The 15,672-nt window shown below is 53.5% G+C and overlaps 1 protein-coding gene across 11 annotated transcripts in view, besides 2 other annotated features; it reads right to left on the bottom strand.

Annotated features, from left to right (window-relative positions):
* PARVB (parvin beta) overlaps positions 1 to 15,672 on the bottom strand; it is a 173,729-nt gene that overhangs the window by 25,457 nt on the left and 132,600 nt on the right. For all 11 annotated transcript variants that reach the window (NM_001003828.3, XM_024452236.2, NM_013327.5 and 8 more), the window contains 3 exons: positions 14,474 to 14,589; positions 10,965 to 11,023; positions 7,340 to 7,359 (listed from right to left, as the gene is read on the bottom strand). In NM_001003828.3, the coding sequence (NP_001003828.1) occupies positions 7,340 to 7,359; positions 10,965 to 11,023; positions 14,474 to 14,589 (195 nt within the window). The remainder of the gene's footprint in view (positions 1 to 7,339; positions 7,360 to 10,964; positions 11,024 to 14,473; positions 14,590 to 15,672) is intronic.
* Positions 783 to 1,412: an enhancer, noted in NCBI's record as "OCT4-H3K27ac-H3K4me1 hESC enhancer chr22:44541951-44542580 (GRCh37/hg19 assembly coordinates)". NCBI's record gives its function as "activates a minimal SCP1, AML or CMV promoter by ChIP-STARR-seq in naive H9 embryonic stem cells {active_cell/tissue: H9 hESC(naive)}" and the evidence as "EXISTENCE:reporter gene assay evidence [ECO:0000049][PMID:30033119]".
* Positions 1,413 to 2,042: an enhancer, noted in NCBI's record as "OCT4-H3K27ac-H3K4me1 hESC enhancer chr22:44541321-44541950 (GRCh37/hg19 assembly coordinates)". NCBI's record gives its function as "activates a minimal SCP1, AML or CMV promoter by ChIP-STARR-seq in primed H9 embryonic stem cells {active_cell/tissue: H9 hESC(primed)}" and the evidence as "EXISTENCE:reporter gene assay evidence [ECO:0000049][PMID:30033119]".

Here is a 15,672-nt window from a genome sequence, read left to right as displayed (position 1 = left end):
ACCTGTGAATCCAACCACTTCCCCCGCGACGGTGGCCATGTCCTGCTCACGCCTCACTGCCCCTCGCCTGGGAGCAGCTGCAGCCTCCTACTCCACTCCTGGCCCCTGAGCCCTTCTCCCCAGCAGGCAGAGTGAGCCCTTCCAAGTGCAAACAGGATCATTTGTTTCCCCCCTCCACTCCCACCACAACTAAAACCCTCCAACTGCTTCTTATCATGCTTAGAATAAAATCTATCTTCTCTCCTGCGAGCCATGGGACACTCAGATAAAATCCATCCTCTCTCCCACGTGCCATGGGACACTCAGACTCAGCGTTATCCTCCTACATGCACCCTCCCTGACTTCACTCCACCAACCGGCCTCCCAGCTGCTCCTGCTGACACTGGTGCACACTTGCCTCAGAGCCTTTGCTCCTGCTGCCATGGAGGGGGGAGTTCCATAGGGGCATATGGAACAGAGACTTGGACCCCAAGCAGAGGGCTGAGGTCTCCAGGTAGACACAGAGCTGTGGGGCATCACTGCCAGGGCAGAAAAGACAGGGAGGAGGGCATTTGGAAGGGGCCCAGGGCCCCCCAACTTCCATCCTCCAGGTTCCTGGAGGCAGAGCATGTTCAGAGGACCAAGCCCAGCAGAGAGACCCTCTTTTACCAGCCAGGCTGGGGCCCCAACCCAAGGAGCAGCCCTGGGAGCTGCGGAGCCCAGCTTGACAGGGAGAGAGTGGGGTAGGAAGCTCCTCCCACCCGTCTAGTGGGTGGCCTAGGGGAGCCTCCTCAGGGACCGCCCTGGCCTAGGAGAGAGACAAAGAGAGCCCAGAAAAAGAAAGAAGGGATTAGGCCCAGGTAAGCCAGAGACCTACGGAGAGAAGTTGGCCAAGCCTCCTCCCAGAGGAAGCATGCTGACCCTTCCTCCCAGGCTGGGCCCCAGGAGGCAGCTCACACCCCCCTGCCCAGCCCAGCCCAAGTAGCCCCTTCCGTGGCCTTGTGGAGGTGGTGAGAAACAAAGAGGAAAGGAGAGAAGGAAAGTGTATGTGTACGTGTGTGTGCGCGTGTGAGCATGTGTGTGCATTGTGGGCACGTGTTTGCGTGTGTGAGCATGTGTGCGTGTGCGAGCACGTGTGTGCATGTGTGTGTGTGAGCACCTGTGTGCACGTGAGCACATGTGTGCGTGTGTGAGCACGTGTGTGCGTGTGAGGTTGTGTGTGAACATGTGTGTGTGCTGTGAGCGTGTGTACGTGTGAGCGCGTGTGTGAGCGTGTGTCCATGTGTGAGCATGTGTGCGTGTGAGCACGGGTGTGCGTGTGTGCGGTGTGAGCGTGTGTACACGTGTGAGCACGTGTGTGCATGTGTGAGCACGTGTGAGCGTGTGTGTGCCTGTGTGAGCGCATGTGTGCGTGTGTGAGCATGTGCGTGACTGGGGGAAGGGAGGGAAGTTTTCTTCACCTAAAGACCAACATTGACCAAAATGCCCTGCCTCTGCACACACGCCAGCTTCCTAATGCGGCAGCTGTAAATGATTTTCATAATCATCTAAGACTACACTCAATAAGACAGTCTGCTAAGGGGCAAAACAAAAAAAAAAAGTGAAATTTTTACATCTTTACAAAGCAATACGCAAACTATAAATGCAGCTTAAGAAAAACCCCAGGAGCAGAAGAGTGCTTGACGTCAGCCAGGGTATATTTAGCTGGGCCACCGCTGGGCTGGCAGAGTCAAGCCACTCAAGGAGACATCGGGGCCGCAGAGGCCTCTCCGCCGGCTGCCATGCCCCTGGACCCAGGGGACTGGCATCACGTCACACAGTCCACAAGGCAGGGAGGGGCCAGGGGCTCTGAAAATGGGCACTGGGGACCAGGCACAGGACCCAAGGGCATTTGGAAGGGACCCAGGGCCCCCAACTTCCATCCTCCAGGTTCCTGGGGGCAGAGCATGCTCAGAAGACTGAGCCCAGTGGAGGGACCCTCTGTTACCAGCCAGGCTGGGGCCCCAATACAAGGAGCAGCCCTGGGAGCCGCAGAGCCCAGGTTGACAGGAAGAGGGTCGGGTAGGAAGCTCCTCCCACCTGTCTTGGGGTAACCCAGGGGCCTCCCCAGGGACCACCCTGACCTAGGGGAGAGAGAGAGACAGAGAGAGCATACTGCACCCCTGTGATGTGCTTGGCCTTGGGAACGAAAATAGATCCTATTTTGTTCTAGCTGCCCCACTTCACACCCCATGACTGGGCAAATCCTTCCCTCTCCGACCCCCTTTCTTCCTCCATAAAGGCAGCATTCTCACAGCCCCTGCCTCGCTCTTGGTGTGGAACTAAGTGGGGCAGTGAGTAGAGGCAGGAGCATGGAGCCTGGCAGGAGCATTGTCGGTCCTCAGTCCTTACAGCTCCCGCTCGTCCTGTCCCCCAGAGCCTCCGCAGGCTCTGGGGACATCACAGAGATAAACAAGGAGGGACTCCTCTCTTGGAAGAGGCACAGACTTGGGGGAGGGCCTGGAGAGGGAGTAAACTATGATAGTGCAACCCTGTTAGTGTCAGAAAAGACGAAGCCAGACGGGGGGCCAACCGACCTGACCATATGCCAGGGCTGCCCAAGCTCAATCTGCAGGAATGCTCAGCTTGGTCGCTGTAATGTTTTGATTTGAGTCAACAGTTTTCATTTGTTTTGTTTTCTTTTGTTTTGTTTTGGTCTTTAGGCTTTTTGAGACAGAGTCTCACTCTGTCACCCAGGCTGGAGTGCAGTGGCATGATCTCAGCTCACTGCAACATCTGCCTCCCGGGTTCAAGCAATTCTGCCTCAACCTCCTGAATAGCTGGGACTACAGGCATGCACCACCACACCTGGCTAATTTTTGTATTTTTAGTAGAGACGGGGTTTCGCCATGTTGGTAAGGCTGGTCTTGAACTCCTGACCTCAAGTAATCCACCCGCCTCAGCCTCCCAAAGTGCTGGGACTACAGGTGTGAGCCACGGTACCCGGCGAGAGCGAACAGTTCTTAAATTGGAAAGTTTGTCCAAAAGTTCTTAACTTCTGGCTTCTCTTGAAGAACTGGAGGCTGTGGCAACAGTGAGCCTGCACTCCCACCTGGCAGCAATAAGCTGCCCCTGGGGATGGGGGTGTGGACTCTCCAGCTTGCGCCAGACCCCACCACTCCCCACTGCCACCCAGCCCTGGGGTGAAGGGGCAGATGACATTATCATTGCATAATCTAGACACTCTCCTCTTTTATATTATCAGCCTGGTCCCTGGAGACACCTGAGTCTGGGACCCATGAACCAAGGGCTGGGGGGACCTGAGGAAGGCTTCACAAAGCAGTCCTGGGGTTCAAGCCAGGCTTGCTGGGGCAAGAGGAGGAGGAAAGGCGCTCCACCGAGGGACCAGCAGGCACAAGGAGAGAGAGATGCCAGAAAGCCCAGCGCAGGTTCAAGAGCCGGGTGGACTGTGAGAGGGGTTAACAGGGGCTGTGGCCTGCAACGTGGGAGTTATGGAGGGCACAGTCAGGAGCCACGGGTGATGGGATGGAGCCAGAGGTTTTGGAACAAGCCCTGTTGGCAGAAATGGGAGAGACGTGAAGGGGAATTACTAGGAGTTACAATGAGGGGGAAGAGAGTGAGGAAGGCACATCCCCCTTCTTTCCCCTCTGCCTCAGAAAGAGCCTCCAGCCCAGGGCAGGCCCAGGAGGGGGAAGGGCCGCCCGCGGAGAAGCCGCACCAGCTCACCCATTGCCATGGAGACCAGGCTGCAACCTCCCTGGAACCCCTGAGACTTGTTTCCGTGGAGAGAAGCCTCCTCACCCACCTCATCCAGGACAGTGATGCTGTCAGGAGGCAGCGAGGACCTGTGGAGCCACCTCCCTCCCCGGAATGATGGGGAGTGGGCAGAATGGAGTCCCCATCCCTCCCTGGCTCAGGGTACTCGTGGGGAAACTGAGGCCCAGAAGACCACTCCTGGCAAAGCCCAGCACATTAGCCAAGGAGGGTCTGCCCGGCCTTCCAGAAGCTCCTAAAACATCTGCCCCCAGCTGCGTGCAGACTGTGGCCAGGGCTGGCTGCTTTGGCAGGGGGTGGGGTGCACCCCGAGGAAAGGTCAGCTCCAGCCCACAGAGCACCTCTGGGTCAAGGAGCCATGTGTGAAAGGAGAAAGGCAGGGGCTGTGGGTGCCCCTGAAAGTTTGCTGGCACCAGTGTCTGCCAGACACGTGCAAGCTTCGTTGTGTAAACACTGGCACAGGGAAGAGGAGCCAGGCCATCCCCATGAGCTGAGTGCTGCTTGGTGTGTCACATGAGTACAGAAAGAACTAAGGCAGGGGTGGGGAGGAGAGCCAGTGGAGGCCAGTTTGGGGCAGTGGAGTCAGAGAGGGCCTCCCTGATCAGTGACATTTGAACCAAGAGCTGGCAGAGCTGAAAGAGTGAGCCATGGGGTAATCTAGAGGGAGAGCATTCAGGTGAAGGTTGCTGGAGGAGGGAGCACCCTGGGGTGCTCTCGGGGGCTGAAGGAGGGGAATGGCATGGCAGGGAAGCGAAGACAAGGCGTGCTGCTGCCCCCACAGGGGCGGGTGCCGGGCCAGACACCCTGCTGTGCCTGAGGGTGCCAGGCTGGGTAACCAGGAGACTTCGGAACCTGCGTCAGCAGAAGCAGCAAGGCCGGGGGTGGAACTAATTGCCTGTCACCGACTAATAGCCTGTTTGCATTTTCTCAAGCACAGCACATAAAGCCTACAAAGTAACGAGAACAATTCCATCGGCCTCTTGTACATGGTCTTGCGATTCCACAGTCCTCCCACCCCTGGAGTGGCAGCTGGGTCCACTTTTCACATGTGACACCTGGCTCTTACCTAGGGAGCCACTGCCCCAGCCATCAGACCCTAAAGCTCATTCATGGGGTGGCAGGGGCTCCGGGGCCAGGCTTCTGGGCCCTCGGGCCACAGGGTGCTATACACAGCCTGAGGCCCATGTGCTCCCAACTGAACTGAACAGACTGTCTTTTCCCTAAACCTCCAACAAGGCCCGAACCAAACACAAAAGTGACAGCGCCACAAAAAAAACAAAAAGACTCAAAAATGCTTGAGGGGCCCACTGTCATCTTTTTTTTTTTTTTTTTTTTTTTTTTTTTTTTTTTTTGAGACAGAGTCTTGCTCTGTCACTCAGGCTGGAGTGCAGTGGCGCAATCTCGGCTCACTGCAACCTCCACCTCCTGGGTTCAAGCGATTCTCCTGCATCAGCCTCCCGAGTAGCTGGGACTACAGGTGCCCGCCACCACGCCCGGCTAATTTTTTTGTATTTTTAGTAGTGACGGGGTTTCACCATGTTAGCCAGGCTGGTCTCGATCTCATGACCTCATGATCCATCCACCTCGGCCTCTCAAAGTGCTGAGATTAAAGGCATGAGCCACCGCGCCCGGCCCTCTCCTCATCTTTAGGCCTCTACAATTCCAAAGGGGTTCTGAGCCTCCTCCAGGAAGAAAAGATGGAGAAGAGGTGACAGAGGGGGGCACTGGGCCCCCAAAACGCGCCTCTACCTAGACGCAGGGTGGGGAGACGCCTCACCCCGGTCCCATGAGCTGTGACCCCACTGCGGTTTCGCCTCCCTCAGCAACTATATACAGGATGTTTCTCTTTCTCTTCCTGCATTTGTTTTTTAATAATAGAGACAATTTAAAAGAGCTGGAATTCTCCTTAAAAACAAACAAACAAACAAACAAAAAACAGAGAAGGCCTGTGAATGTTCCCAGCACAGCTTAAGGTCTAGTAAAGAAAGCCTAGGGGGGACACGCTGGCTGCATCTTCTCAATTCAAGCCCCGCAGGATCTGAGCCACTTCCCCTCTCCACAGGCGTGATGGTTAATACTGTCAGCTTGATTGGATTGAAGGGTGCAAGGCGTGGTTCCTGGGTGTGTCTGTGAGGGTGTTGCCAAAGGAGATTAACATCTGAATCTGTGGACTGGAAAAGGCAGACCACCCTTAATCCAGGTGGGCACCACCTAATCAGCTGCCAGCACAGCCAAAATAAAAAGCAGGCAGAAGAACATGAAAAGACTAGACTGGCTTAGTCTCCCAGCCTCCATCTTTCTCCCATACTGGATGCTTCCTGCCTTCGAACATCAAACTCCAGGTTCTACAGCTTTGGGACTCAAACTGGCTTCCCTGCTCCTCAGCTTGCAGAAGGACTATTGTGGGACCTTGTGATCGTGTGAGTTAATACCCTTAGTAAACTCCCCTTTATATATATCTATCTATCGTATTACTTCTGTCCCTCTAGAGAACCCTAATACAATAGATAAGCAGCAATGGCATCCTAGCTGGTCCCCATAATAACTTGAGGTTACAGAGCCCCATGGCCAAGCTGGCCCAGCCCTCATTGTATAGGACTCAGGGGGTGGCACCCCCACCCAGAGGGCCCCCAAAAGACAGATATCAGCTCCGCTAGAGAGGCAGGTGGGAGACTTCTATCTGGTTTCCATTTTTCCTTTTAAGAGCTGTTCTCCCCTCCCTGCTCACTGGAGAACAGGGTATCTGGGGGTCAAGAGGTTTCTCTTTTGAAATGCTTCCCAAAGCACTGAGGCTGGCCAGGCCGAGGGCCGGGGTATCCTGGTACTGAGGGTTGAAACGTTACCATCCCTCACCGAGATGAAGATGAGGTCTCAGGCTTTCATGAGGGAAGAGAGAGTGATTACCTCTCTCTCTTTGGGAAGAGCCACTGAAAACCAACACTAATAAAACCAGCCCACATAGAGGGCTGTCCCCCGGCCAAGCAGGGCACTCACCTGTGATCTCACCCAATACTCACAGCAGCCCCTGCCTGGGGAGAGCCTTTTACACTCCCATTTCACGGATGAGGAGCAGAGAGAGGAAGGGGCAGGCCACAAGCCACCAGCCAGGAATGAGCCCTGGCTGCCTGACTCTAAGGAAGTCTGCTAAACCAGTGGTTTCCAGGAGGAAATAATACACATGGAAGGACATCCACAGAGCTGAGCCACTCTCTTCCAGCCAGCTAACGACGCTCCATGTGCTGGCTGCCTCTCCTCCCTCCCTTTTACCCTCAACCACTCTTGCTCCAGCCCCTGACAGTTCCAGCCAGTGTTACATCCCAGGCCCCTCCTGCTCCCCTAGCTGGTCACCCAGCCTTCCACCCCACTCCTCCTAGCACAACCCAGCCACTCTCAGCTCTGAGAAACAAGCCCATTATACAGAAAGGTGGGGGTGGGCTGTGCACTTTCTCTAGGATTCCAGAACTATGGGGGCAGTGAGACCCATCTAGTTTCCCACTCCCTCCAGATAACCATGTACACTCTCTGGGAGCTTCCTGGGGGAGCCCTAACATGCCTCCATCTCCCCACTTTCCCTGGGGTTACTTACCGAACCGGCCCATCATCATCCTGCAAACAAGAACACAGAGAGAGCCATGAGATGGGTCACTCAGAACACAGTTTCACAAGCAGCACAATGGAGGATGAGGGACAGAGCCAGCCAGAAAGCTGGGCCCTCGCTGCCCAGGTAAAGGCCTACTGATAAGAACGCAAGTCACATGGTGCTGTGTTCCAGCCTGCTCTAATTATAAACGAGAGGTGCTTGTGTGAATTATTAATGTTTGCACAAGGTCAGCAGCAAATCACCATCTCTATTTGCACATTAACCACCCTGGTAATGTTGTTTGGAGGGGAGGTACTTAAATCAGAAGAGTGGTTAATATGAAGATTTCAGCAGACAACAGGTCTTCCAGCAGCCGTGGAACGCTCAAAACACAGGCTGGGCCGGGCACAGGGGCTCATGCCTGTAATCCCAGCACTTTGAGGGGCAGAATCGGGTCAATCACTTGAGGTCAGGAGTTCGAGACCAGCCTGGCCAAAATGGCGAAACCCCATCTCTGCTAAAAATGCAAAAATTAGCCGGGCATGGTGGCAGGCACCTGTAATCCCAGCTACTTGGGAGGCTGAGTCAGGAGAATCACTTGAACCCAGGAGGTGGAGGTTGCAGTGAGCAGAGATTGCACCATTGCACTCCAGCCTGGGCAACAAGAGTGAAACTCTGTCTCAAAAAACAAACAAACAAACAAACAAAACAATAAAAAAATGCAAGGCTGGAGACGAGCCTGGCCAAAGTGGCAAAACCTCCTCTAAGAAAAATACAAAATTAGCTGGGTGTCATGGCGTGCGCTCTAGTCCCAGCTACTCAGGTGCTGAGGTGGGAGGATCGCTAGAGCCTGGGAGGTCAAGACTGCACTGAGCTGGGATCGCACCACTGTACTCCAGCCTGGGCAACAGAGCAAGACCCTGTCTCAAATAAATAAATAAACAAACAAACACACACACAAGGTTGCAGGTTACTCATGTTTCCAGGAGTAAACACAATGTACTTGCAGGACTTGTGGAACTAAAGGATCCTGGAGAACCACGAGGCCAGGCCCTGATCTCAGGCAGGCGGCAGCGGAAGCAATGGGGGAGACGGGAGTGGTGAGCAGCTTCTCCTCAAAGATTCCCAGTGAGTGAGTGCACAGATCCTTTCCATGCACTGCCTTCCTGAGAGGCAAGGAAGTCTTTACTTTGTCCCCAAATCCCTCTAGGCTCAAGTCCTTTGGCTCCATCTTATTTAACAAGCACTTACTTGAGTACCTACTATGTGCAGGCTGTGCAGATACAGAAATTAACATCCCCTGGAGATAAACACTATGTGGCCCTGCCCTCAGGATGCCTGGGAGTGACAGACCTCATAAGCCAATATTTCAATGTTGGCCACATGTGTCCAGAGGCTAAGGGAACTAACAGGAAGCCAAGCACTCCTGCTTGGCAGACAGGAGGGCTTCCTGGAAGGGGTGACCTCATAGCCACCTCTTGAAAGAGAAAGGGGAACACTGAGACTGGATAGGAGGTGGCAATGCTGCCTTAGGAAACTGAATGTGGATCTTTGGGCCGCTGGTTTTCAGCAGACATCCAATGATTCAAATGTTCCGTCAGAGCCTCCGCAGCCACGGGGAGGGGAAGGAACAGGAGACAAGGATGGGATGACCAGCCCTGAGGAGAACCTACCTGGGGCATCATCCTGGAGAGGTGACCCAGCCTCTCCTTTACCCTGACCCTGGCTGGCAGAGGGACACTGACTCAGGCTAGAAAATCCCAACTCCCTTCCTCACTGCTCAGGGCCATCTGATATCTGATTGAGGTGGCTTTCACTGAAATCTCCCCTTCCCTGACTTTGGGGTGCTCCCCTCCTCCTGGAAATTCCCTTAGGGCCCCGAGGCACTTCCCACAAGCCCCTGTGTTAGACTGTACATGTCTGTGGATGCATCCTTTCTCATCAGCAGGATGGGTCGCCCTGGAGGAAAAGAACTGCACTCAGCCCACCTCTCAGTGTCTCTGTTGATCCAGCAAGGAGGCTGGCATGCAGCAGGTCCTTGGGGCCACTTACTGCTGATGAATAGCTGAGACAATTCTCCCACCCACTTGCTCATTCTCTGTCTCTGGACCATTCTAGTTTTATGGCAGGGGGCCCAGCTCCTCCTTGCTGTCCTCATATGGGACCCCCTCACCTAGAGGGGAACTCCTATCACAGCATGCCCACCACCCAACAATGTGCACAGGCCATTCCTGCACAAGGAGGCAGAGTCTGTTTCCTGCACCTTGATCCAGGATGACCTGTGACTCACTTTGACTCACAGAATTGAGGACATAGGTATGGATGTCCAAGACAAGGCCTCAAGGGGACTGCAGCTGCATTCTCACTCTCTCAGGACCCTGAGAGCACCCTGGGAAGATGCCCAGCACTGTGAGGAGGAAAGAGACCCAGGGGAGGCCAACACCAACCACCAGAGGTAGGGGGAGCCCATCTCAGCCTCCCCAGCCTCCATCCAGCCTTCAGATGTCTGCATCATATGAGCAACCCCAGGCGAGACTGGCTGAACAACCGCCCAGCTGAGCCCAGCCTAAATTGCTGACCCACAGAATTGTGAGCAGCAAATGAAACAGATGTTGTTTTAAGCCACTTGACTTTGGGGGTGATTTGTTACACAACAATAAACAACTAAGACACCAGCCCAATCCCAGTTCCCCACGAGCAGCCCTTCTCCTACTGCTGAATAGGCAGAGCTGCTGCCAAAGGCCCACTGTGCTGGGCAAAGAACCACATTCTCATCCTCCCCTTTTCCAGCTCTCCCTGTTCCCTTCGTGGGCCTGGGGCAGACTGGGAGGCCTCTTCATGGGCCTCTGCACATGCATCAGCCTGCACTCCACTGTCCCATCATCTTCCCTGAGAGCTTGCAAGCCACGAGTGGTTTCCTGTGTCAGCTCCAATTTTTGAAATACCATCCATGAATTCACAACACAGTAATTAATCACTCTGTGAACTTAGCTGATGGATTAGCTGAGACAATCAATTTTTAAATGTTCTGTTTCATCTGAAACAGGTTTAGTCAAGAGGCACAAATGCAGTGAATTCTAAAGATTCTTAGCAGGTTATCACAAGGAGTCCTTAAAACCACATACCACAGATACTGTTTGATTTGCTATTTTCAATAGATTTGAAGCCTTTTAGACTTCTGAACACCTGCCCTCTGGCTTTCTCTAGGAGATAACAGATGGCTTAGTAGTGTCTGTCAAAGGAAAGTTCTGGTTTAAAGATGTAGCTCCCACCTCTGATGGGGCTAATGTAGATGGATAAATGAACTGAGACAATGGTTCTCTCTAACCATCCTGAACTCTCTCTGCCTGCCCCACTTTGCAATGTTCTTACAGCTCACCTTTTAAGATAGGAATGAAAAAATTCAAAGTCTGTGGAAGGTAACTCAGTTCTAATGTTAAAAACTCTGAAGAAAGTGTGCAGAGGGAGGAGAGCTGGGGTGGGAACCAGCATGAGAATCACATGCTACAGAGAAGGGGTGTGGAGCGGGAGCAGCCCCATGGGCGCTGGTGTCCCTGGCTGAAGTGGCAGCCTGGGGTCCCACTCACTCGGGGCAGCAGGGCCTGGAAGGGCAAGACAGGGGTCCACTTACTCTGTAGTTGTGGTCAGCTCCTCCGAGATGTGGCTGGAATGCAGCAGGCCTTCCCGTTTCTGAAAACCCCAAAATAAACATACAAAATCAGGCAGTGGAGAGTTGAGGAAAGATGCACTGACAGGGCAGACGAAGCTGCGGGGCCGGAGATCATCTTAGAAAAGAGCAACAGGAGAAGGAGGGGTGGTGTTGAACACGCATGCCAGGCCTGGGTGAGTACACAGCAGGGGACCCTGGGCAGGGTGCCTTTCAGCGACCACAACCTGTCCCTATCCTCCTCCCCACCCTCTGGTCTCCACGTGGCCTTGAGAGTTGGCATTTGTGTGGGTCTCAGGAGAAACACCCCAGGTCAGGATTCCCCAAAGGGATCCTCTATGCTTTGCAGCCAGGAGAGGTGAGGCATGCAATTGGAAGGAACATAAATAACAGGGAACATCCCCTGCAATCATGTGTGTGCACGGGACTGAAGAGGGTCCCCCAAAGTTCATATCTACCACAAACTTCAGAACATGATCTCATTTGGAAATAAGGGTCTTTGCAGATACTAGCTCAGATGAGGTCATCATGGATTATGGTGAGCCCCTCCTTAATCCAATATGGCTCACCTCCTTATTAGAAGAGGAAACAGACACAGAAACAGACAGAGGGAGGAGGCCATGTGATGACAGAGGCAGAGACTGGAGAGATGTGGCCACAAGCCAAGAACACCAAGGACTGACAGCCACCACCAGAAGCTGGAGGAGGCAGGAAGACCCCTCCCCTAGAGGAGGAGACATGAGGGAGGACATCCTACCCTGACAACATCTTGATTTCAGACTTCTGGCCTCCATAATTGCGAGAGAATAAATGTCTGCTGTTTTAAGCCACCTGGTTTGTGGTACTTTGTTATGGCTGCCCTAGGAAACTGACACAGTATATGTCACACTTCTCCCAGAGCGTGGCAGGTATAGAAAAGCAATGATGGCCGGGCACAGTGGCTCACAGCTGTAATCCCAGCACTTTGGGAGGCCAAGGCAGGCAGATCATGAGATCAAGAGATTGAGACCATTCTGGCCAACATGGTGAAACCCGGTCTCTGCTAAAAATACAAAAATTAGCTGGGCGTGGTGGCATGTGCCTGTAATCTCAGCTACTTGGGAGGCTGAGGCAGGAGAATCAGTTGAACCCAGGAGGCAGAGGTTGCAGTGAGCTGAGATTGTGCCACTGCACTCCAGCCTGGGTGACACAGTGAGACTCCATCTCAAAAAAAAAAAAGTAATGATGGTAGTGAGGGGGGCATGGCAGTGGTGATGGTAGGGGTGGCAGCCCGCCTGTCACAGGAGCTCCAGATGGAGCCTGGGTGGCTAATCCAACCACCACTGAACCCCTCAAGGGACTGGGAACTCATTTCCCGCTGGGCCAGCCCACAGTGGACACCACCAAGATCTGGGCTTCCATCCCTTTCCTGAGTTTGACCTCCATGGAATACTCAGGGTTGGTGCTTGTTATTGAACAACAGTGTGGGTGACATTTATCCTGATTCTCAGGAGTGCCTGCCAAGGAAGGTCCAGACATTGTGTTCACCTAGTCAAGGATCAAACATGCCTGAGGCACCCACCAGGTGCTGGGCCCAGGTCTAGGATTGTAGACATGAAGCTGGATGTTTTACAGGTTTGTAGTAAAATCTTGGTTTTATGGGGAAAAGCATTGCAGCTCAGCAAAAGCAAGTGATCAGCCCAAAGCCACGTGGCCAGGCAGTAAATAAGGCCCTTTCCTTCCTTCCTTCCACCCTGGAAATGCCACATCCCTTACACCAACCATTCCATCTGGGGTTAGATAAGGGGTCCCCTGAGCAAGCTCAGAGGCCAGGGGGCTGCAGAGAAGACAGAAGGCGGCTCTAAGGTCTGGGGAGTAACTGCGCCCGGTTCACAGGACCCCCTGCTCCCGTTTCATTCTGCTTTGGTCGTGGCCAAACAACACTCCTCTAACCCGTTATGGCAGGAAGCACCAGCAAGTGCTTGCCTGGTTCAAACTTTCTGCAAACCGCAAAGATTATCTTGGACCCAAGTGCAAGCCTGAAAGGAAATACTCCAGTTTCTGAGCCTGCACAGGGCTCCTGGGGCCCCGAGCTGACGTAGGTAGGCTTGGGAACCACATCCCAATGTGTCCTAGGGAAGCCTTTTCAGGCCGGCTGCCTGTGAACCAGTGGCCAAGACACGGGGCCATAGGAATGGCCCCCCAGGTCCCGAGTCACCACCACCAGCCACAAACATCCTCCTTAGGAAGGAAACATGGACACATGGCAGGTGGCCCTTGCCGGATGCCAGAGAGGAGCATTCCCGTCCGGTCAAGACTGAGCTCCCAGGGTAACAGAGGGGCCAGAATGGGTTCGGAAAACACAGTGACAGCCAGGTCCTCCCCGACCACAGAGACCACGGGACTGAGAAGTTTAAAAACCAGAGGAAAGTGGAGCCGGATGTCTCGAGTAAAATAAACACAGAGGCATCCAAGGTTCCGAGCGTGACCTCAACTCTGGCCGCAGTGGTCACCCCCACAGACGCCAGGCATGTGTTCCTCCTTTAGTGGCTCGGCAGCCTATGCTGAGTGCTTAGAGAATAGTAGGCGCTCATTGCACATTTACTGAGGGAAACTGCACACACGAACCCTAGGCAGCGACTGTCCACTTAAATGTAAGGGAAATAAGGCCAGGCATGGCAGCTCCCACCTATAATCACAGCATTTTGGGAGGCTGAGATGGGAGGATCGCTTGAGCCCAGGACTTCGAGACCAGCTTGGGCAACATAGCGAGACCTTGTCTCTACAAAAATTTGAAATTAGCCAGGCACGGTGGCATGTGCCTGTAGTCCTAGCTACCTGGGAGGCTGAGGCGGGAGGACCGCTTGAGCCCAAGAGGTTGAGGCTGCAGTGAGCCATGACTGCACCATGGTACTCCAGCCTGGGCAACAGAGTGAAACCCTTTCACAAAACATAAAATAAAATAAAAAATAAATGTAAGGGAAATAGCAAGAGAAAGGTAACTCTACTTCACCCTCTGTTAGAAGGACCTGGGTTCTGGTTCCATTTCTCCAAGTGAATCAAGAGAAATGAACCCAAAAAAAGAGATGATGGGGCATGATGAATAATCCCCAACGAATGCAAAGCGGCTTTAATTTGGGTGTCTGTTTCATCCCGCGGGGCCAACCTCCTCCAATGAGTAATAAGCACATTCAAGGGGATTGAATTCCAACCAGTTGGCTTTGGAGAGAAATGAATGTTCTTTTCAAAAATGTGGAAAATTAAACCTCAACACCCTCATGCCTCTGCTTCTGCCTCTCATCAAATCAATGCCATTGTTCCCGTTCCAATCATTTATCTCGGAGCCAGGGTGAGACACACATTTTGTCAAAAGGGAAAAATAGAAGGTAGCCTCCTGGGGGGAAAAAAGGAGGGGGAGGGCAGGAAAACTGCAGGAGGAAGATGTTGCCTCTCTGGCGGAGTTACAGGCAGGCCGACCACTCGGTTATACTCACCCGCACGACCACCACCTGCACCGTTACATGCTCAGGAAGGCGGATGGGGGCCCTGAAGTGCATGGCCAGAGAGACCAGCAGGTGGAGGATGGCCACCAGGTTCTTCCCGTGAATTGCTGCAGGAGGAAGGAGGAAGGGAGACGCTTTAGATCAGGTTACACAGGAACCTGAGCCCACGTGCAGAAGGCAACAGAGACACAGCATCTAAATGAGACCCCAGCGAGACAAGGATGGAGCGAAGTGTGGACAAATCAAGAGAGCTGATGAGCAACCTGGTGAATTTACTTCTAGCTTCACTGTCTCCTTTCCTGTTGGCCTAAGGTGACTTGTGCAACCACTTTTAGAAGCACAATGTTTTTAAAAGCAATAAATTGGGCAGTGATGAGGGAAAGGAACAGGATAGTAAAATTAGCACAGAAGGGAAAAGAGCATGGAAAGCAGGTCACGGCCACTTACCCATCACAAGGATGTGCGTTATTATCTCTGGCACTAAAAAAGGGCTCCCTCTCCGCAATGAACCATCCCAACAAGGGTAGGCTGCCAAGAGCAGAGGCCACTCTGGGGACATTAGACATTAGCCCCTGCCTTGCCTGAGTCTGTCCTCTCTCTTCCTCAGCATGCGGACTCAGGTTTGGTCAACATCACCACTTCTCCTGCAGGGTTTTACAGTTTACAAGGCACCCGATTCCCCACCCACGGACCCAGCCACCCACGAGACAGCCTGGGTCTGCCCAAGGTCTCGATACCAAGAAACCGGGTGCAAGGCCAGGCTCCAGGGTCTCCTGCCTACCACTGAGAGCCCAGCTCACCAAAGCACGGAGACCTCTGGCCCAGCACAGAGAGCCCTGAAGCCACACCCTCATGGCCCTGCTTCCAGGGGAGGGAGGTGGGGAAGGAGTGGGCAGGACCGAGGAGAACTTTCCAGCTTCTCCTGGTTTAGTCTTTCACCTGCCGGGTTCATGTCTTGGCTGAAAATACCGTGATGTCACATCTCATAATGCCAGGGTCATAGACAAACAGCCCACTAGGTGTTGCTGCCACCAGTATTTGGGGTTGAGTCCCAACAAGAACCCCCCAAGGCTGCTTCTCTCTCTCAAAGTCCCTCTGATCCACCCATCCATAAACATTGCCTCTCTCCTCTGCAGCATGGGGAGGATGGAGAATTGTGGCCTGACCAGGTCCCTTTTCTAGGATCTCCC

Source organism: Homo sapiens, chromosome 22, assembly GCF_000001405.40.
Source record: "Homo sapiens chromosome 22, GRCh38.p14 Primary Assembly".
Classification (NCBI taxonomy): domain Eukaryota; kingdom Metazoa; phylum Chordata; class Mammalia; order Primates; family Hominidae; genus Homo; species Homo sapiens.
This window is presented reverse-complemented; position numbering and strand designations above follow the sequence as displayed.